The sequence below is a fragment of the Homo sapiens genome, chromosome 1, assembly GCF_000001405.40.
Source record: "Homo sapiens chromosome 1, GRCh38.p14 Primary Assembly".
Classification (NCBI taxonomy): domain Eukaryota; kingdom Metazoa; phylum Chordata; class Mammalia; order Primates; family Hominidae; genus Homo; species Homo sapiens.
The window spans coordinates 247501911-247524027 of record NC_000001.11 but is presented as its reverse complement, the minus strand read 5'-3'; the positions used below and the strand labels follow the sequence as shown (position 1 = coordinate 247524027).

Below are 22117 nucleotides of genomic sequence, written 5' to 3'. Positions count from 1 at the left end.
GTGTGTGTGTGTGTGTGTGTGTGTGTGTGTAAGACAGATGTTGTTTTCCAAATGTTCAGTCAATTGTCCCAAAACAATTTATTTCGCTAGCTGTATTTTCATTATTTGCTTCAAATTATACCTTTACCATATTCAAAATTTCATATATGTGCAAATTTATTTCAGGAATATCAATTCTATTAATATTTATTCATTTATTTTATTTCATTCACATTTGTAACACTTTTAATAGCTGTTGATGTATAGTATATTTTGTCATCTAGTAGAACAAGGCATCAATCATTATCTATTTTTCTAATTTAGACTTTTCATGGTTGTCACTATGTTCTGCTCTACCAAGTTAAAGTCACAGCTAGTTTCCTCCTAACCCAAAACAGTATCTTATTGACTGTGGTTAGTATTGAACTACATTTTTAAATTAATGTCTGGAAAATTTACCATGTTTGCAGGACCAAGACTTCCATGTGGATAATGAACAAAGGAACTGAAGCACGGGGGTGGGATCATGTCATTAAGTACTTGCTATGGGTCCTGATGCCTCACTTGACTATGAATCCTTGGTCAATAAACCCACCTCTCTGAACCCTGTTGTCTTTATCTGTAAAGGGTGGCAAAAACACCAGTCTTGAAAGGTTTCTGCAGAGACTTAAGTAATGAGAAATTGGTACTCAATATAATGACTAGCACAGTAAAACCTCAATGAATGTTAGGAATTATTCCTGTCTATATATGCATGTAGATCTTTTATTCCTTCAGGAAAGATTTCCAGTTTTCTTCATATAGGTCTTGATTATTACTTGATTATTACGCTGCTGTAACAGAGACCAAAACTACAGTGGTTCAAAGGAGATAAAGTGTATATAGGTTGAAGGGGCATCTGTTCTGTAGGAGGTTGCCAACCCCAAACTGCAGAGCAAGAGCTACTGACAAACAGTAGATGGAGGTTCATTTATTTACTAAAAATGATAAACATTTTTGATACAATAGAGGATTTCATATATATTTTCTAAAACTAGACTGAGTGTTAGCAATGTGAAGCAGTATTTGTTAGAGCACTCAGAAAAATTTCTCATTAAAAGTTATACGTTATGGTTTTTTTTTTTTTTTTTTTAGTATTTATTGATCATTCTTGGGTGTTTCTCACAGAGGGGGATTTGGCAGGGTCATAGGACAATAGTGGAGGGAAGGTCAGCAGATAAACAAGTGAACAAGGGTCTCTGGTTTTCCTAGGCAGAGGGCCCTGCGGCCTTCCGCAGTGTTTGTGTCCCTGGGTACTTGAGATTAGGGAGTGGTGATGACTCTTAATGAGCATGCTGCCTTCAAGCATCTGTTTAACAAAGCACATCTTGCACCGCCCTTAATCCATTTAACCCTGAGTGGACACAGCACATGTTTCAGAGAGCATGGGGTTGGGGTTAAGGTCATAGATAACAGCATCCCAAGGCAGAATAATTTTTCTTAGTACAGAACAAAATGGAGTCTCCTATGTCTACCTCCTTCTACACAGACACAGCCACAGTCTGATTTCTCTATCTTTTCCCCACATTTCCCCCTTTTCTATTCAACAAAACCGCCATCGTCATCATGGCCCATTCTCAATGAGCTGTGGGGTACACCTCCCAGACGGGGTGGCGGCCGGGCAGAGGGGCTCCTCACCTCCCAGAAGGGGCGGCCGGGCAGAGGCGTCCCCCACCTCCCAGACGGGGCGGCGGCCAGGTGGAGGCGCCCCCCACCTCCCTCCCGGACAGGGCGGCTAGCCGGGTGGGGGCTGCCCCCCACCTCCCTCCCGGACAGGGCGGCTGGCTGGGCGGGGGCTGCCCCCCACCTCCCAGACAGGGCGGCTGCCGGGCGGAGACGCTCCTCACTTTCCAGATGGGGCGGCTGCCAGGCGGAGGGGCTCCTCACTTCTCAGACGGGGCGGCTGCCAGGCGGAGGGGCTCCTCACTTCTCAGATGGGGCGGTCGGGCAGAGACGCTGCTCACCTTCCAGACGGGGTTGCGGCCGGGCAGAGGCGCTCCTCACATCCCAGACGGGGCAGCGGGGCAGAGGCGCTCCCCACATCTCAGACGATGGGCAGCCGGGCAGAGACGCTCCTCACTTCCTAGACGGGATGGCGGCCAGGAAGAGGCGCTCCTCACTTCCCAGACTGGGCAGCCGGGCAGAGGGGCTCCTCACATCCCAGACGATGGGCAGCCAGGCAGAGATGCTCCTCACTTCCCAGACGGGGTGGTGGCCAGGCAGAGGCTGCAATCTCGGCACTTTGGGAGGCCAAGGCAGGCGGCTGGGAGGTGGAGGTTGTAGCGAGCTGAGATCATGCCACTGCGCTCCAGCCTGGGCAACATTGAGCACTGAGTGAACGAGACTCCGTCTGCAATCCCAGCACCTCAGGAGGCCGAGGCTGGCAGATCACTCGCGGTTAGGAGCTGGAGTCCAGCCCAGCCAACACAGCGAAACCCCGTCTCCACCAAAAAAATACGAAAACCAGTCAGGCGTCGTGGCGCCCCCTGCAATCCCAGGCACTGGGCAGGCTAAGGCAGTAGAATCAGGCAGGGAGGTTGCAGTGAGCCAAGATGGCGGCAGTACAGTCCAGCTTCCGCTCGGCATCAGAGGGAGACCATGGAAAGAGAGGGAGAGGGAGACCGTGGAGAGGGAGAGGGAGACCGTGGAGAGGGAGAGGGAGACCGTGGAGAGGGAGAGGGAGACTGGAGAGGGAGAGGGAGACATTATGTTTTTCATAAACTGTTGAAAATGCTTACAACCTTGTAACAGTCTCATCAATCCTGTTATAATTAATACTGCAGGTATATAAAAATTGAGTGGATTCTCAATTTTTTTGGATTCCCAATTCCTAGTTGGGTGGATGGTTAGAAAGATGCCTATAGGATTTTCTCCTTGCAAAAAAAAAAAAAAAAAATGCAAGAATGTAAATTCAAATTCTAAGATTTATTTCACCACAGAATAAAATTTTTTTCTAACACAGTTGCTTGACTAAGTTTATATAGGCCCACACTAAATGCATGTGGTGTAGTGCCAGAGGCAATGTCTAGTACACACCAGGCTAAGCATACTAAAACTATAAGACAGAGCAGTGAAAAAATTCAGAGGCTTAATAAGAAACACAGAAGATTGCAACAAACTTCTTTTCCCTTTCGGAAATCAGAAGATAAAGTAGTATAGACGTAAGTTGGTTTCCCCTTTTCCCTTTTTGCAATGTCTATAATTTTTTTAACCTCTAATAATCCAATGAGGAAATCTGAACTGAAAATATAAGGAAAGACTGTCCTGCTTGAAGAAACAGCTATTTGAACATGAGAAAAGAAATTTGAAAACTACGCATTAACCTAAAGAGTTTGAGGCTGTAAAAAAAAGGCAAAAACGTATCCAAATTTGATCAAGATGTGCTTTATTTTATATAACTTCTGGGAAGTTTGTAGTACAACTGTATTAGGGGTCTCCAGAGAAACAGAATCAACAGAAGATGTGTGTGTGTGTGTGTGTGTGAAGAGGTGGGGGTACTTATCTGAAGAAACTGGCTAACTCAATATGGGGGTTGGCAAATCAGAACTCTTCAGGGTAGGCTGGAGACTCTGAGAAAAGTTGATGTTACAGCTGTAGCTTGAAAGCAGATGTAAGAACTCCTCCTTCCTTGTAGGACCTGAGTCTGTTTTCTCTTAAGGCCTTCAACTGAATTGGATCAGGCCCATCCACATCATGGAGGGTAATCTACTTTACTCAAAGTCTACCAATCTAAATGTTAATGTCATCTGAAAAAAATACTTTCACAGCAACACTCAGACTGGTGTTTAACCAAATATCTGGGTACTACAGCCTAGTCACGTTGACACAAAACTAGCCATTACAGGAACTAAGTAGTTCATGGAAATAGATGTAATTTCATTTATTTTTACAGTAATCAGAGAAGCGCACCTTTTTTTAGTGTAAATTTTAAAGGAAAATATGAAGTAAAAACTATGACTTGCCACTAAATCTTAAAATATTCCTACTTCAGAAATGTCAAAAGGTGAAAATGCATGAGTTGAAAAAAGTTTCATTTTTATCATAATTAGCATGATTAACATAATCACTGTCAACATATCATCATCATTTATCCTGGCAAACTCTCCCATGCTAAGCAGCTGTGATTTCCTTGCTCTACAAACTCTTTGAGTCCATATCTTCCCATACACGACCCTATGTTTCCTTAAAGTGATATTCCTAGATTTTCCTCTAGTACAGACATATGGGTTGCTTGGAAGCTTGTTCCAACAGAAACTCTCTAAAGCAGTGACTTTCAAACTTTTATATCGGTGTAAGAAACACATTTCACACACACATATACACAACTGACTCACTACCATGCATAGTCCTCTGTGAAATTTTCTAATCCATTTTATGCTAACCTAGAATAACGAATGTTTGCCGCACTTAAATTGATGTTGTAAGTGACATATAACCTGAAATGTAAAGGAAACACTGCTCTTAGGCAGATACATGTTACCTGCTTAGGGCCTGAGGGGGCAGGTAACAGCCTGAGGAAGTAACAGTGTCATCTGCACAGGGGTCTGGAAAATTCAGAACAAAAAGGCCTGTGGGAACAAGTGTACCCCAGAAAACACTCACCACAGACACACACGTGCGTTTCTGCCATGCTGTCTCCTTACTCTTGTATCTGATCTAATGACATTACCGCTCAGTGGAATCAGAGTCACAAATGAGCTGCAAAGCAGTCATTATCTGCCTGTAAAACCCCACTAAGGAAAGAAGTAGCAGCATCTATCTTTCCACCAGCACATCATCTCTTGCAATGAACTCTTTTGCAATTAACTTTGAAGGACATGGGGCAGTCAGTCCACCTGCAAGCAAAGATACAAAGTCTGAGACCCCTGAAAGAGAGAACGCCTTGCTCCATTCACATTCACATCCCTGCCGCTTTTTGTTTGTTTGTTTGTTTGTTTTTGTTTTTGTTTTGAGACTGAGTCTTGCTCTGTCGTCCAGGCTGGAGTGCAGTGGCACAATCTCGGCGCTTTTTTCTTTTTTTAGAGATAGGGTTTTGCTCAGTTGCCCAGGCTGGAGTGCAGTGGTGTGATTAGAGCTCACTGAAGCCTCAAACTCCTGGTCTCAAGCGATCCTCCCGCTTCAGCCTCCCAAGTAACTAGGACTAAAGGCAGGCGCCACTAGCCCGGCTAATTTTTTACATTTCTGGTAGCGATGGGTTCTCGCTGTATTGCCCAGGCTGGTCTGGAACTGTTGAGCTCAAGCGATCTGCCCGCCTTGGCCTGCCAAAGCGCTGGGACTGCAGGCGAGCGCCGCGGCCCCCGTTCCCCATCGTATTATTAATGGATGCCATTGTGCAGTGTTGTCCTGAAGAGAAAAAGCTTCGCGGACCACACGAAATCGCGGGGTGAGTGTTCCCGCCTACCTCCATGTCCTCCCGCGTCCAGCGGCTGCGGGCTTTCCCGAGAGCCTTCCCCAGGGCGCCTTTCTCGTCCTCTCAGCGTGGGGATGAGGGAATTCAGCGGCGGTTGCAGGCAGTTGAAGCGGGTGCGGCGCTAGTGCAGACGGCGTCACCGTGGAAAGGGCGGCAGCCGCGCGGGAAGGCCGGGCGCTGAGACCGCATGCGCAGCAGTGCACTGCCCCCGAGGGGCCGAGGCCAAGTCGCGCGAGAGGCGCCAGGGCGGCTGGGGTGGCCGGGGAAAGCCAGGCGTTCCACCCTGCCGGCGTCCACGCGGAAATGCGGTGATGGCCGGCGTCCCACACACGAACTGGCAGAGGCAGCGGTGACTGCACCGCCCCAGGTACGTGTACGCGGCGACGTCAGGGCGGAATGGCAGCTCCCGGAGCCGGCGCGGCCAGGCCAGACCAGGAGCCAGAGGCCTCAGAGGGCCGCACCGCACACCCACGCGGGCCATGGATTTGCCTGAGCCCCCGCGGTTAACTAGCACTTGGGAGAAGCTGCGAGTGCTGTGGCAGGAGGTGGAGAAGGGCCCGGTCGCTGAGGAAGTGGGAGTGTGCAGTGGGAGGGAGAGGAGGACGTTGGTGCAGTTGCCAGTCACGGCCAGAAAGTAAAAGGCCGTGCTGACCACAAACGGGACCGTCTCCAGCTTTGGCCTCTCCAGAACCCCAGCAGAATGGCGTCACCCCGCGAGCTCTCATTGACCCTCCATCGCCCTTGGCCTCATTTGCCTATTTAGAGAGGTTCACAGGCTGCAGTGATTAGAAAATGGCACGTGTTGTTCTGTCCTCTCAGTGCGGAGGATCCATTCCACCACCCACAGTTTTTAGCGAGTCTCACTTGCCTGCTGGTTATCTAGCACTGAAGGGCAAGACGTTAAGTAAAGATATTTGTGAAGAGAAGAAAGCTAAAACTTTTTTCTCAGTAGCACTCTGATCTAGTCAAGCGAGTTAACTGGGTAGACTTTTAAAAATAAAAATTTTTTAAACAAGCTTTTTGTTATTTTCAGAAATAAGTAAATAATATTAAAAAAAATATTTTGTCAGAATCTACTAACCATGAACCAATTTCTCTGCTACTGGATACAATCTCCTAAAATTTGTGGAACAATAGCTTCAATTAATACGATCAGCTCTCACATTTCCACATTTTACATTTTTTTGTTCCAGTGATTTAAAATCCACTGCATAAAGAGTACAGTCTCACACTCTGTGCCGACCTTGCACTGTGAACTGCAGGTTTAGATAGGAAAGAGACAAGACACCTAGTAATAAGTTACTCACAATACCTGTACATTTTGGGGAAAATAGCCTGGGGGCCCTAGAGAACAGGGGAGCCCTGAATTCATTTTACTCTGAATTGTTAAAGATTTGGTCCAATCTCTTGACTCAATGATTAGTCTGACATTATCCAAAAGACCAAAAGCAGCTTTGATTGTGCAAAGGTGAAAGGATTTTCTTCCTTGCCATGTCCACTCACAAAGAGCAGAAAAGCAAGGAATGTTCTTTTGTGCCTTTCCAGTCAATATTATTCAGTGCCCAGAGATCAGTTAAGCAGAATAATCAGGATCATTGTAGAGAGTTATTTTGGTAGTAAGTATGTCTTATGACCTGCACTCCTTCGTGAAAGCAAACTAAATATTCACATTATTAAATAGACACCCATCAAGTATCTGCGCTGGGAACATAGATCTCGCCTATAATTAAGAAATTAACTGAAAAAAAAGTATTTTCTGTATGTCAACAATTAAATGTTGGCTGTACGAATATAATTTTCTACTATCACTCCTTTTGGCTTGACAAGGACTCAGCTGCTGAAGAAGTTAGGTTGTAGTGTAAACAGAGGGTTACAAATGCATCCCTCTTGTTTTCCATAGCTCTGCTGTCCACGTACAGGATGTGTCCATTTGAGGTCTAATCTGAAAGGATTGTAGACCCTAAACTCAGAAAAGGGTTACTGTCTGATCACCAGCCATATATAAAGTGCAGTTAGATCTGGAGTTTAAAAAAAAAAAAAAAAAAACAGTCAACATGAAAGTTGTAGACAAACCAGTTTAAGGGACACTTTAGAAACTGAATCTATTATGAGCATGTTGTATCTGCAGATCTCATCATGAGAATACACATCTAGAACTAAACTAGGTCAGCATGAATTGGAGCTTGGAAATTGTAACATGGACACAAGGAATCATTTACTCAAGTTGTTCAGTACTCATCACCTGTGTTCGCTAATTGCTCTGTCGCAGACGTAGGGTCCAGTGTCTTTTAAATGCCTAAACTCTAAACCAAAATCCATAATGTCAACACAGTATTACAAATTGTCTTATAACATTTAGAAAAGAGGGAATGAGAGATTAGGAGTTCCCATATGTGTTTTCAGAAACACACAAGAAGGAAGTGGTCCTGCCGTATTGACATGAGTGTTCTTACTGTAGGTGGCAAAACACCCCTGTTCTTGTGGGTTTTAGGCCTTCGATTCACATTGCATCATCTATCACTCATTGTACCACCCTGCCTTCCTCTGCCATTTTTGCTGTCCACCTAACAGCCTAAACATCATACCCTAAATGACAATATTCTGGTCCTTCTCTGGGTCTCCTCCCCCCTCAACCAACAGATAAGAGTCTTATCAGCTAACTATGTGTAGGTGTGGTTAGTATAATAAATGTGCTTCCTGAGTCTGATCACTGCTGGGTTTACTGAAAAGACTGTGTGATAACAGGTTGGATTTGTGTCCCCACCCAAATCTCATGTTGAATTGGAGGAGGGGCCTAGTGGGAGGTGACTGGATCATGAGGGCAGATTGCTTCCTTGCTGTTCTCATGATAGTGAATGAGTTCTCACAAGATCTGGTTGTTTAAAAGTGTGTGGCACCTCCCCAGGCTCCTGCTCCACCATGGTAAGAGGAGCTTGCTTCCCCTTCGCCATCTGCCATGATTGTAAGTTTCCTGAGGCCTCCTAGTCATGATTCCCGTACAGCCTGCAGAACTGTGAGTCAATTAAACCTCTTTTCTTCATAAATTGCCCTGTCTCAGGTAGTTCTTTCTAGCAGTGCGAGAACAGAATGATACACTACATCTATTAACACAGGAAGCTGTTGGACCTACAAGGACCTCATCAAGGTACAGAGTTATTATATATTAATTAGTTACCATTCCTTTTTCATAAACAACATTTTAAACTGTATTTCTAAATATATTCTTGCACATTAAAAATTAAAGTTACTGTTGCAGTGCAACAATGTCTCAACCACAAACTTCACACAGGGGAAAAGTCCTTTTCTTCAATTACTTTGTCAGAGATTTGAAAGGCTTTTATTCATTTTCCATGCTGTCATTACTTAACTCATTATCTGGCTGCCTTGTCTAATGGCTCCTTAGCTTTCACGTGGTTCATAGTCCACATATTCTAGTTCTATGATGGTCAAATGGCAGCATTTTAAAAATAATGACATTGACACAAACAAATGGAAACACATCCCATGCTCATGGATGGGTACAATTAATATTATGAAAATGACCATACTGCCAAAAGCAGTCTACAAGTTCAATGCAATTCCCATCAAAATACCACCATCACTCTTCCCAGAACTAGAGAAAACAATCCTAAAATTTACATGGAAGCAAAAAAGAGCCCACATAGCCAAAGCAAGACTAAGCAAAAAGAACAAATCTGGAGGCATTGTTACCCAACTTCAAACTATACTATAAGGCAGTAGTCACCAAAACAGCATGATACTGGTATAAAAAATCGGGACATTGACCAATGGAACAGAATAAAGAAACCGTAATTAAAGCTAAATACAGTCAATTGATCTTCGACAAAGCAAACAAAACATAAAGTGGGAAAGGACACCCTGTTCAACAAATAGTGCTGGAATAATTGGCAAGCCACATGTAGAATGAAACTGGATCCTCCTCTCTCGCTTTATACAAAAATAAACTCAAGATGGATCAAAGACTTAAATCTAAGACCTGAAGCCATAAAGATTCTACAAGATAACATTGGAAAAACCCTTCTAGATACTGGCTTAGGCAAAGACTTCATGACCAAGAACCTAAAAGCAAATGGAACAAAAACAAAGATAAATAGATAGCACTTAAGTAAACTAAAAAGCTTCTGCACAGCAAAAGAAATAGCAGAGTTAACAGACAACTGACAGAGTAGGAGAAAATCTTCACAATCTATACATCCAAAAAAGGACTAATATCTAAAATCTACAAAGAACTCAAATCAGTGCGAGAGAAAAAAAAGTGGGCTAAAGACACGAATAGACAATTCTTAAAAGAAGATTTCCAGGCTGGGAGTGGTGGTTCATGCCTGTAATCCCAGCACTTTGGGAGGCCAAGGTGGGCAGATCATGAGGTCAAGAGATCCGGGCCATCCTTGGCAACATGGTGAAACCCTATCCCTACGAAAAACACAAAAATTAGCTGGGCATGGTGGTGCATACCTGTAGTCCCAGCTACTCAGGAGGCTGAGGCAGGAGAATGGCTTGAACCTGGGAGGTGGAAGTTGCAGTGAGCCAAGATCACACCACTGCACTCCAACCTGGCGACAGAGCAAGACTCCATCTTAAAAAAAAAAGGCGGTGGGGGGGTTGTGGCTGACAAGATGGCCAAATAGGAACAGTTCTGGTCTGCAGCTCCCACTGACATCAATGCAGAAGCCTGGTGATTTCTGCATTTCCAACTGAGGTACCCAGCTCATCTCACTGGGACTGGTTAGAAAGTGGGTGCAGCCCACAGAGGGTGAGCAGAAAGAGGGTGGAGCATTGCCTCACCCAGGAAGCGCAAAGGGTCAGGGAAGAAATCCCTCCCCTAGCCAAGGGAAGCCACAAGAGACTGTGCCCTGAGGAATGGTGCACTGCAGCCCCAGATACTATGATTTTCCCACCATCTCTGCAACCTGCAGACCAGGAGATTCCCTCAGGTGCCTATGCCACCAGTGCCCTGGGTTTCAGGCACAAAACTGGATGGCCGTTTGGGCAGACACTGAGCTAGCTGCAGGAGTCTTTTTCCATACACAAGTGGCGCCTGGAATGCCAGCAAGACAGAACTATCCGCTGCCCTGGAAAGGGGGCTGAAGCCAGGAAGCCAAGTGGTCTAGCTCAGTGGATCTGACTCCCATGGAACCCAGCAAGCTAAGATCCACTGGCTTGAAATTCTCACTGCCAGTACAGCAGTCTGAAGGTGACCTGGGTCACTCAGGCTTGGTGGGGAGGGGTGTCCGCCATTACTGAGGCTTGAGTAGGTGGCTTTCCTCTCACTGTGTTAACAAAGCCACCGGGAAATTTGAACTGGTCTGAGTCCACCACAGCTCAGCAAAGCCGCTGTAGCCAGACTGCCTCTCTAGATTGCTCCTCTCTGGGCAGGGCATCTCTGAAAGAAAGGCAACAGCCCCAGTCAGGAGCTTATAGATAAAACTCCCTTCTCCCTGGGACAGAGCACCTGGGGGAAGGGGCGGCTATGGGCACAGCTTCAGCAGACAAACATTTCTGCCTGCCAGCTCCAAAGAGAGCAATGGATCTCCCAACACAGCGCTCAAGCTCTGCTAAGGGACAGACTGCCTCCTCAAGTGGGTCCTTGACCCCTGTGCCTCCTGACTGGGAGACACCTCCCAGCAGGGTTTGACAGACACCTCATACAGGAGAGCCCCAGCTGCATCTGGTGGGTGCTTCTCTGGGACGACGCTTCCAGAGGAACGAACAGGCAGCAATCTTTGCTGTTCTGCAGCCTCTGCTGGTGATAACCAGGCAAACAGGATCTCGAGCGGACCCCCAGCAAACTCCAGCAGATCTGCAATAGAGGAGCCTGACTGTTAGAAGGAAAACTAACAAGCAGAAAGGAATAGCGTCAACATCAACAAGAAGGATGCCACACAGAAACCCCATCTGAAGGTCACCAACATCAAAGACCAAAGGTAGGTAAATCCACAAAGATGAGGAAAAACCAGTGCAAAAAGCCTGAAAATTCCAAAAACCAGAACGCCTCTTCTCCTCCAAAGGATCACAACACCTCACCAGCAAGGGAACAAAACTGGACAGAGAATGAGTTTGACAAATTGACAGAAGTAGGCTTCAGAAGGTGGGCAATAACAAACTCCTCTGAGCTAAAGGAGCATGTTCTAACCCAATGCAAGGAAGCTAAGAACCTTGAAAAAAGGTTAGAGGAATTGCTAACTAGAATAACCAGTTTAGAGAAGAACATAAATGACCTGATGGAGCTGAAAAACACATCACGAGAACTTCTTGAAGCATACACAAGTATCAGTAGCCGAATTGATCAAGCAGAAGAAAGGGTATCAGAGATTGAAGATCGGCATAATGAAATAAAGCGTGAAGACAAAGATTATAGAAAAAAGAATGAAAATAAATGAACAAAGCCTCCAAGAAATATGGGACTACGTAAAAAGACCAAACCTACATTTGATTGGTATACCTGAAAGTGACAGGGAGAATGGAACCAAGTTGAAAAACACTCTTCAGAATATTATCCAGGAGAATTTCCCCAACCTAGCAAGGCAGGCCAACATTCAAATTCAGGAAATACAGAGAACACCGTTAAGATACTCCGCGAGAAGAGCAACCCCAAGACACACAGTCGTCCCATTCATCAAGGTTGAAATGAGGAAAAAATGTTAAGGGCAGTCAGAGAGAAAGGTCGGGTTACCAACAAAGGGAAGCCCATCAGACTAACAGCGGACCTCTCTGCAGAAACCCTACAAGTCAGAAGAGAGTGGGGGCCAATATTCAACATTCTTAAAGAAATGAGTTTTCAACCCAGAATTTCATATCCAGCCAAAGAGAGCTTCATAAGTGAAGGAGAAATAAAATCCTTTGCAGACAAGCAAATGCTGAGAGGTTTTGTCACCACCAGGGCTGCCTTATAAGAGCTCCTGAAGCATGGAAAGGAAAAACCAGTACCAGCCTCTGCAAAAGCATATGAAATTGTAAAGTCCGTTGACACTATAAAGAAACTGCTCAGCTAGTAGCTGGCAAAATAACCAGCTAGCATCATAATGACAGGATCAAATTCACACATAACAATATTAACCTTAAATATGAATGAGCTGAGTGCCCCAATTAAAAGACACAGACTGGCAAGTTGAATAAAGAGTCAAGACCCATCTGTGTGCTATATTCAGGAGACCCATCTCACGTGCAAAGACACACATAAGCTCAAAATAAAGGGATGGAGGAAGATTTACCAAGCAAATGGAAAGCAAAAAAAAAGCAGAGGTTGCAATCCTGATCTCTGATAAAACAGACTTTAAACCAACAAAGATCAAAAAAGACAAGGGCATTACATAATGGTAAAAGGATCAATGCAACAAGGAGAGCTAAGTATCCTGAATATATATGCACCCAATATAGGAGCGCCCAGATTCATAAAGCAAGTTCTTAGAGACCTACAAAGAGACTTAGACTCCCACACAATAATAAGAGACTTAGACTCCCACACAATAAACTGGGGAGACTTTAACACCTCACTGTCAATATTAGATCAGTGAGACAAAATTAACAAGGATATTCAGGACTTGAACTCAGCTCTGGACCAAGCGGACCTGATAGACATCTACAGAACTCTCCACCCCAGATCAACAGAATATACATTTTTCTCAGGACCACATAGCACTTATTCTAAAATTGACCACATAATTGGAAGTAAAACACTCCTCAGCAAATGCAAAAGAACAGAAATCATAACAAACAGTCTCTCAGACCACAGTGCAATCAAATTAGAACTCAGGATTAGGAAACTCACTCAAAGCCACAAAACTGCATGAAAACTGAACAACCTGCTCCTGAATGACTACTGGGTAAATAATGAAATTAGGGCAGAAGTAATAAGTTCTTTGAAACCGAGGAGAACAAAGACAACGTACCAGAATCTCTGGGACACAACTAAGATAGTGTTTAGAGGGAAATTTATAGCACTAAATGCCCACAGGAGAAAGCAGGAAAGATCTAAAATCGACACTCTAACATCACAATTAAAACAACTAGAGAAGCAACAGCAAACAAATTCAAAAGCTAGCAGAAGACAAGAAATAACTCAGAGCAGAACTAAAGGAGATAGAGACACGAAAAATCCTTCAAAAAATCAATGACTCCAGGAGCTGGTTTTTGAAAAGATTAACAAAACAGATAGACCACAAGCCAGACTAATAAAGAAGGAAAGAGAGAAAAATCAAATAGACACAATAAAAAATGATAAAGGAGGTATCACCACTGATCCCACAGAAATCCCACAAACTACCATCAGAGAATAGTATAAACACCTCTATGCAAATAAACCAGAAAATCTAGAAGAAATGGTTAAATTTCTGGACACATACATCTTCTCAAGACTAAACCAAGAAGAAGCTGAATCCCTGAATAGACTAATAACAGGTTCTCAAATTGAGGCAGTAATTAATGGCCTGTCAACCAAAAAAAGCCCAGGACCAGATGGATTCACAGCTGAATTCTACCAGAGGTACAAGGAGGAGCTGCTGCCATTCCTTCTGAAACTATTCCAAACAGTAGAAAAAGAGGGACTCCTCCTTAACTCATTTTATGAGGCCAGCATCATCCTGATACCATAACCTCACAGAGACACAACAAAAAAAGAAAATTTCAGGCCAATATCCCTGATGAACATCGAAGCAAAAATCCTCAATAAAATACTGGCAAACCAAATCCAGCAGCACATCAAAAAGCTTATCCACTAATATCAAGTCAGCTTCATCCCTGAGATGCAAGGCTGGTTCAACATACACAAATCAATAAACGTAATCAATCACATAAACAAAACCAATGACAAAAACCACATGATTATCTAAATAGATGTAGAAAAGGCCTTCAATAAAATTCAACACCCCTTTATGCAAAAAACTCTCAATAAACTAGGTACTGATGGAATGCATCTCAAAATAGTAAGAGCTATTTATGACAATCCCACAGCCACTATCATACTGAATAGGCAAAAGCTGGAAGCATTTTCTTTGAAAACCAGCACAAGACAAGGATGCCCTCTCTCACCACTCCTATTCAACGTAGTATTGGAAGTTCTGGCCAGGATAATCAGGCAAGAGAAAGAAAGCCTATTCATATAGGAAGAGAGGAAGTCAAATTGTCTCTGTTTGCAGATGACATGATTGTATATTTAGAAAACCCCATCGTCTCAGCCCAAAATCTCCTTAAGCTGATAAGCAACTTAGCAAAGTCTCAGGATATAAAATCAATCGGCAAAACTCACAAGCATTTCTATACACCAATAATAGACAAACAGAGAGCCAAATTATGAGTGAACTCCCATTCACAATTGCTACAAAGAGAATAAAAAATGTAGGAATACAACTTAGAAGAGATGTGAAGGACCTCTTCAAGGAGAACTACAAACCACTGCTCAGAGAAATCAGAAAGGACACAAACAAATGGAGAAACATCCCATGCTCATGGATAGGAAGAATTAATTCGTGAAGATGGCCATACTGCCCAAAGTAATTTATAAAAGAATTCAATGCTATTCCCATTAAACTACAACTGACATTCTTCACATAATTAGAAGAAACTATTTTAAAATTCAGATGGAACCAAAAAAAGAGCCCAAATCGCCAAGATGTTTCTAAGCAAAAAGAACAAAGCTGGAGGTATCACACTACCCAACTTCAAACTATATTATAAGGTTACAGTAACCAAAATAGCATGATACCGGTACCAAAACAGACACATAGACCAATGGAACAGAATCAGAAATAAGACCATACACATACCACCATCTGTTCTTTGACAAACCTGACAAAAACAAGCAATGGGGAAAGAATTCCTTCTTAATAAATGGTGCTGGGAAAACTGGCTAGCCACATGCAGAAAACTGAAATGGACACCTTCCTTACACTTTAAACAAAAATTAACTCAAGATGGATTAAAGACTTAAACATAAGACCTAAAACCATAAAAACCTTAGAAGAAGATCCAGGCGGTACCATTCAGGACATAGGCATGGGCAAAGACTTCATGACTAAAACACTAAAAGCAATGGCCAAAAAAAGCCAAAATTGACAAATGGGATCTAATTAAACTTAAGAGTTTCTGCACAGCAAAAGAAACTATCATCAGAGTGAACAGGCAACCTACAGAATGGCAGAAAATTTTTGCAATCCATCTGACAAAGGTCTAATATCCAGAATCTACAAAGAACTTAAACAAATTTACAAGAAAAAAACAGAAACCCATCAAAAAGTAGGCAAAGGATATAAATAGACACTTCTCAAAAAGAAGACATTTATGTGGCCATCAAACATATGAAAAAAAGCTCATCATCACTGGTCATTAGAGAAATGCAAATCAAAACCACAATGAGATACCATCTCATGCCACTTAGAATGGCAATCATTAAAAAGTCAGGAAACAACAGATGCTGGAGAGGATGTGGAGAAATAGGAATGCTTTTACACTGTTGGTGGGAGTGTAAATTAGTTCAACCATTGTGGAAGACAGTGTGGCAATTCCTCAAGGATCTAGAACCAGAAATACCATTTGACCCAGCAATCCCATTACTGGATATATACCCAAAGGATTATAAATCATGCTACTATAAAGACACATGCACACGTATGTTTATTGCAGCAGTGTTCACAATAGCAAAGACTTGGAACCAACCCAAATGCCCATCAGTGATAGACTGGATAAAGAAAATGTGACACATATACACCATGGGATACTATGCAGCAATAAAAAAGATGAGTTCATGTCCTTTGCAGGGACATGGATGAAGCTGGAAACCATCATTATCAGCAAACTAACACAAGAACAGAAAACCAAACACCACATGTTTTCACTCATAAGTGAACGTTGAGAACACATGGACACAAGGAGGGGAACATCACACACCAGGGACCTTCAGGGAGTAGGGGGCTAGGAGAGGGATAGCATTAGGAGAAATACCTAATGTAGATGGTGGGTTAATAGGTGCAGCAAACCACCATGGCACGTGTATACATGCTTAACAAACCTGCACTTTCTGCACGTGTATCCCAGAACTTACAGTATAATAAAAGCAAATAAAATTTTACATAAATGCATAAAGTCTGGTATAGCTAATATATTATAATGAAATGTCAAGTATAATTCCAGCTCAAAGAAAATGCCACAAAATTATGAAGGCCTTTCCACAAATCTCTAAATTTATGTCCTCATAACATTACATTTCTATTTCTTCTTGAATAATTTCCTGATTTTAGCTATGACTCAGTGATAGTAAGATGGTAATTATGAGGAGAAAATCCTGCCTCATTTCACCACACACCTAAGTCTTAAGCAGTCACTTCTAACACAGCTGAATAATAGATACTCACCCAGCTGAATCTACGAATTGAATCCATGTATGTAAGATAAGGCCCCCAAGGAGTGGTAATAAGCTGGGAATGCCATCAGCTCATCTTCCTTCAGGCTCATATTTGTCATTGTCTCTTGTAGAAACAGGACAGTGTTGGCATTGGGATTGTTACAAACAGAGGGTATCAAAGGGAAAACAACTTCCCTAATTTTTGGAAAACAGCAGATTGGAAGCAGATGGGCTCCAATGTTTTCCATGTGTGAGGTCATTGTCCCAGGTAGCCTTGCTCAGGTGGGTGGTCTGGCCTCGTTTCTTGTTCAGCAAAACGGAAGTCAAACAATATTTCTATTCCAAGAGAAGAGAACATAATGTCAGATTTTCTCATGGATTCCCACTAGTTCAAGGAAGTTTCATGGCCTTCATTTATTTCTTCTCCAGTGGTCTCAGGGTCACCTAGAAATATAAGATACTTCGTTGGAATTTGGAAGATACCTCCTGCTCCAAAACTACTTCAAAGATGTGCTCTTTTTCCCTGGGAACAGAACCCCAAGTCAAGGCATCTGGCGTGGGAAGCATAATGTAGGCTCCTTTTCACCTCTCACATAGTAGGCCTGGTGTATTTATCTTGGGCAGAAATAAACACCTCCATTGCAGGCAGCACTGATGACTGAGATGCACACTGTCCTCCTTTATAAACCTTATTTTAATATAAATTTCCAGGAACTTGTGTTTGCCATCCCATCCCTTTTTCTTCTCTACTGTGCCTGTCATTGGGATGTTTTATTTCACAAACTAGAACACCCACTTCTTGGCAACAAACTTTTTGCTTTGTGACATCCACCAACCAAACCTGAAATATAACTTTAACTTTAACCTTAACCCTGACTAGAACTGCCACATTTGTGATTCTTTTAATTTAAAAAAAAAAAAAAACTTGATGTTATAATGGTAGCTTTTCTTCCCGTAAACCTATATACCTTTGCACAGAGCACCAGCTTAGCCTGTTTGGGTTTGGCATGGTGTGTTCCCGTGCGTTGTCTTTGATTCTATAATAAAATAAAGTCTTCCAAATTGGCCTCATTTAGGACACCTTCACCCTCAGACTTCTACTCTCTGCAAATACAGTTCTGCCTGAACTCTCTGCCTGGATCCATTCTATCATTAGCTGCCATAACTACAACCTCAATACCCCATCTTGTTGTTTCTTAGCTCTTAATTTGTTCATTTAATTGCCTTACTTGAAGTTTCTCTATTTCTTCTTTTTAAACTTTCTTTAGCTGGTGTTCACAGAAAAAAAAACTGTCAACTAAGAATCCTACACCTAGCAAAGCTATGTATCAAAAATTGAGGATTGCTTGAGTTCAGGAGTTCAAGACAAGCCTGGGCAACATAATGAGACCTCATCTCTGCTAAAAATAAAAAAATATATATTAGCCAGGTGTGGTGGTGTGCACCTGTAGTCCCTCAGCTACTTCGGAGGCAGAGGTGAGAGAATTGCTTGATCTCAGGAGATCTAGGCTGCAGTGAGCTGTGATTGTGCCACTGAACTCCAGCCTGAGTGGCAGAGTGAGGTCCTGTCTAAAACAAACAAAACAACAACAACACAGAACCTTAGGAAATCTCACAAAAATGTAGTTTTGGTCAATTTTTGCTATTTTAAATTCCTGATTTTTCCTTACATTCTAAAGCAAAGGACAATGAAAGCACTAATGAGACCTAGGCTGGAGGAGCCTGCCTTAGACTTAACGTATGTTACCTCTGGGCGACCCCTGCAAAATCTCCAGAGACGTCTGGGGTGAGGAATAAGCCAATACCAGCATTTCCAAAAAGATTTTCACTTTAGGCCTTCCTGAAGCAAGAGCCTAAGAGAGTTGGGATCCAGCAGGAGCACATTGTGCTCTCTTAAGCATTTCCCACCAAGCATTTCCCACCTGGATACAGGGCTGTCTCTAGGATGTGAGTGCTGGGTTACCAGAATTATAAGTTCTGTTGGGGTCTGTCACCAAGGAAGTAAGATCACTTTTTCAAAGTTTCATCCTCTGGGCTCCTTGCTTCCATAAGACCTACCCCAAGGCCCTGCTGGGCCACTGACTGCTCACTATCCCTGCATGTCAACTCTTTACCTGTGCACAATTATGCAAACACAGCCCTCCTCAGTTCCCTGGAAAGACCTGAATACAGCCAGGGCTTCAGGTGTGAGGTCACAGATCTGGGTAAGAACCTACTTTTTCTTACTAGTTCTGTCACACTAGAAAAGTTACTGTGGGTTTGGGGGCCTTTCAACACGTACATTGGGTAACATGCCAGCATCTCCTTCCTAGGGAACTCATCAGGTGTGTATGAGATAAAACTTGTAAAACTCATGGTGTGGCATCCCATGTAGATAATGCACACACTTAGAGATAAAAGAACTATAAGAAGGAATGGGAGGTAGCATAGAATACACCTCAAACAGGCCTGTGTCCAGCAGTGTGATATTGGAAAGTCGCTTCCCCTCTCAGCCTCATTTTTCATTCTGCACCAGTAAGAGTTTGAGATGAAATGGAATTCAGATAGTGTCATCCTCTGACATTACTCCTTTCAGTGCCTTCTCATTATATTCAGAATCAGACCCATGTCCTTCATTTTGGCCTATGTGCTGGGCAGCTTACAGAAAGGCTGACAACACTAAGGGGTTAATGACACTTTTGACCAACAGAATGCGATGGAAATGATGGGATAACACTTCTGTCTTAGGTCAGGCTGTTGTACCAAAGATAGACTGAGCCACTTATCCACAATAGAATGTTCTTTCTCACAGTTCTGGAAGACAGAAGTTGAAGATCAGGACGCTAGCATGGTTGGGCTCTGGTGAGAACTCTCTCTTCTGAGTTGCAGACTGTGGACTTTACGTTGTATTTTTACCTGACAGGTAGTGGAGGAAGGAGCTCTCTGGGGTTTCTTTTATGGAGCCAGTAATCCCGTTCATGAGGGTTTCACCTTCAGAACCTAATTACCTCCCACTTCCTAGTACTGTTACACTGGGGGCTAGGATTCCAACATACACAATTTTTGGTGGGGAAATGTTCAGTCTATTGCAATTCTCATGTTATTATCAAAAAAGCTGTGATTTTCTCCTAGTCACTTTCTTCTGTATTTCCTCCCTCAATCCCTCTATTTCTCTCATCTTTTCTACTTACTCTGTCCAGTGTTTTCTCGTCATTCTCTATGTCTTTCTCTTTCTCTGTCAGTATGTATTTATCTCCCTGTCTTTCTACTGTATTCCTCAAATTTGGAAAGCAAGCTCTAGTGTTATGAGCTGCCTTATGCGGAGGCCTACACAACAGAGAATGAGAGAGTGCCCAGGCCCCGGGAGACACTCAGGCTCTCAGTCTACACTGAACCTGACCGATACCCACATGAGTGTGCTTGGAAGCCAATCCCCCACAGCCCAGCTTCAGCTGAGAACACAGCCCCAGCCTCATGGAGCCCCATGTGGAGGCAGCCAGCAAAGCGGTGTCCAGATTCTGGTCCACATAAATTGTGAGATAGTAAGCATTTGTTGTTTAAAGGTGCTAAATTTGGGGACAGTATTGTCAGAGAGAAGCAGATCACTATCTTCTTCAGGCCCCAGAGTCATCCTTCCCTCTCCTCTTCTCTGCCCCAGGCTCCCTCTAACCCCACCGGCCTCTTTCTCACATCCTCTGCCAAAGTCACCTCTGCCTGCATGTCTCTGCACCAGGAGTGGCATCTCCCTGAAATACTATTCCCAGACTTGTGCAGGGCTGGCCTTCTGTTGTCATCCTGGTCATGGCATAAATGTCACCTCAGTGAGGCATTTGGGTCCCTCGAATGCCATGGCTCCCCTGCCCTCCCTCCCAACATCTTACTTTATTTTTATTATAGCATTTACTCTTCTTTTACATGTACTTGCTTTAGTGTTTTTGTCCATATATCCTCGGACTGTGGGCTCCTTGAATGCGGGAAAGGGCCACTCAATCATTTCTCAGCACCACACGCTGGGCCCACCAGGCACTTGGCATAGGTTTAGTTCTGTGGCAGGGTTGCTGAGTGAATAAATGAGGGAATGTCTAACCTCCTTGTCTGCTTCTGATCACCTCATAATGATATATTTGTTTCTTTTAAGAAACACAATAATCAGAGTTGATAGTAAAACAAATGACAAAATAATTATAATTTCTGGTTTCCTGTTGAGTATTTATAATAGCTTTTATTATATAATTATCCTTGTTTTTAAGATTTTCAGTTTTATAACTTTTACATAATTTGATTTTAATGAAAACCTGTTTTATTTAACTCTGAGTTGTGACAATAAATTTTATAGTCTATCTCCAAATTCTTCTATAGTTTAATAATTTTATTGTTTTTATGAAAGATTTTTGACCGTGATACTTATTTTGGAAAGAGGAATTCTACAAGTTTCCTAACAGGTCAGACCAAATCACATTTTATCATGCAGGATTTAGTATTTGATGTTCAAATTAACAGGTGTACCAGTTGATATGTCAAGTAACCCTGGGTCATATGTGCCCTAAAGAATTCTAAATTATTTGATAAATATTTGATTTTCTTGTTTAGTTTTAAAAATTGTTCATTATAACTTCTTAGTTCATGTACAACTCTGAACTCATGCACTAGATTTAAATTCTGCAGTTGCTTACATATCTGGCTCATGGTAAGGGTGGATCTTTAGATGGAACAAACAATCTGAGAATTTATGACAGTTGGGAAAATAATTTCAGAACAAAAAGCAAGAAGGAAAAGTCAATGGTGGGGCAGAAGAAGAGAGAACAGAATCATAAGGGACAGGAGGGAGATCTGCATGCCAGGAGGCAACCGAAGGACAAGGAGGGGAAGGATTTACTAAAAAATGTGTCTAGTTTTTGTTGCTTCTGATTGTAAAAATTTTCATCTTTAGCCTCAGAATATTTTAGTGGAGCAATGTTTAATTCAGGATTTCATGTGGAGTCCTCTGCCTAACAACTAAAAATACTGCCCATTGGACCCAAGGAATCTTTGTTTTTCTAAAGTGCCAGTCAAAGAAACAATGTTTCTCTGGTCAACATTCATTAATGTGGCCATTAAAGGTTCAAATAATCCTTGATGAAGTAATGCTATTCAGAGAAATAAGTGTAAGAATTGTAATAAAAGTATATACATACCAATAGTTTTATCCTAAAATGAAGAGTATTTAGAGTACAGTTTGTGTGTAATCCTGTGCACCTAATATCTCAGCCCTAATGCAATGGTTGGCCATATCTTAAAGCAGAAAAAAGCCTATGACCCTGGTGGGTATAAAACCAGAGAAAACATGCTCTATGGATTAAAGATGTTTTCTTAAG

The 22117-nt window shown here is 42.7% G+C and overlaps 1 protein-coding gene across 9 annotated transcripts in view; it reads right to left on the bottom strand.

The window, feature by feature from the left end:
* The window catches only part of GCSAML (germinal center associated signaling and motility like), a 70633-nt gene extending 53663 nt beyond the window's left edge, over positions 1-16970 (bottom strand). For 5 of the 9 annotated variants that reach the window (NM_001281834.2, XM_047447035.1, NM_001281835.2 and 2 more), the window contains exon 1: positions 16795-16919. The gene's annotated coding sequence lies outside the window, so the exon portion shown is untranslated. Of the gene's footprint in view, positions 1-5419; positions 5577-16794 lie in introns of those variants that run through there. The other 4 variants (XM_047447036.1, XM_047447037.1, NM_001281837.1 and 1 more) reach the window with 2 other exon arrangements.
* Positions 16971-22117: the final 5147 nt, after the last annotated feature.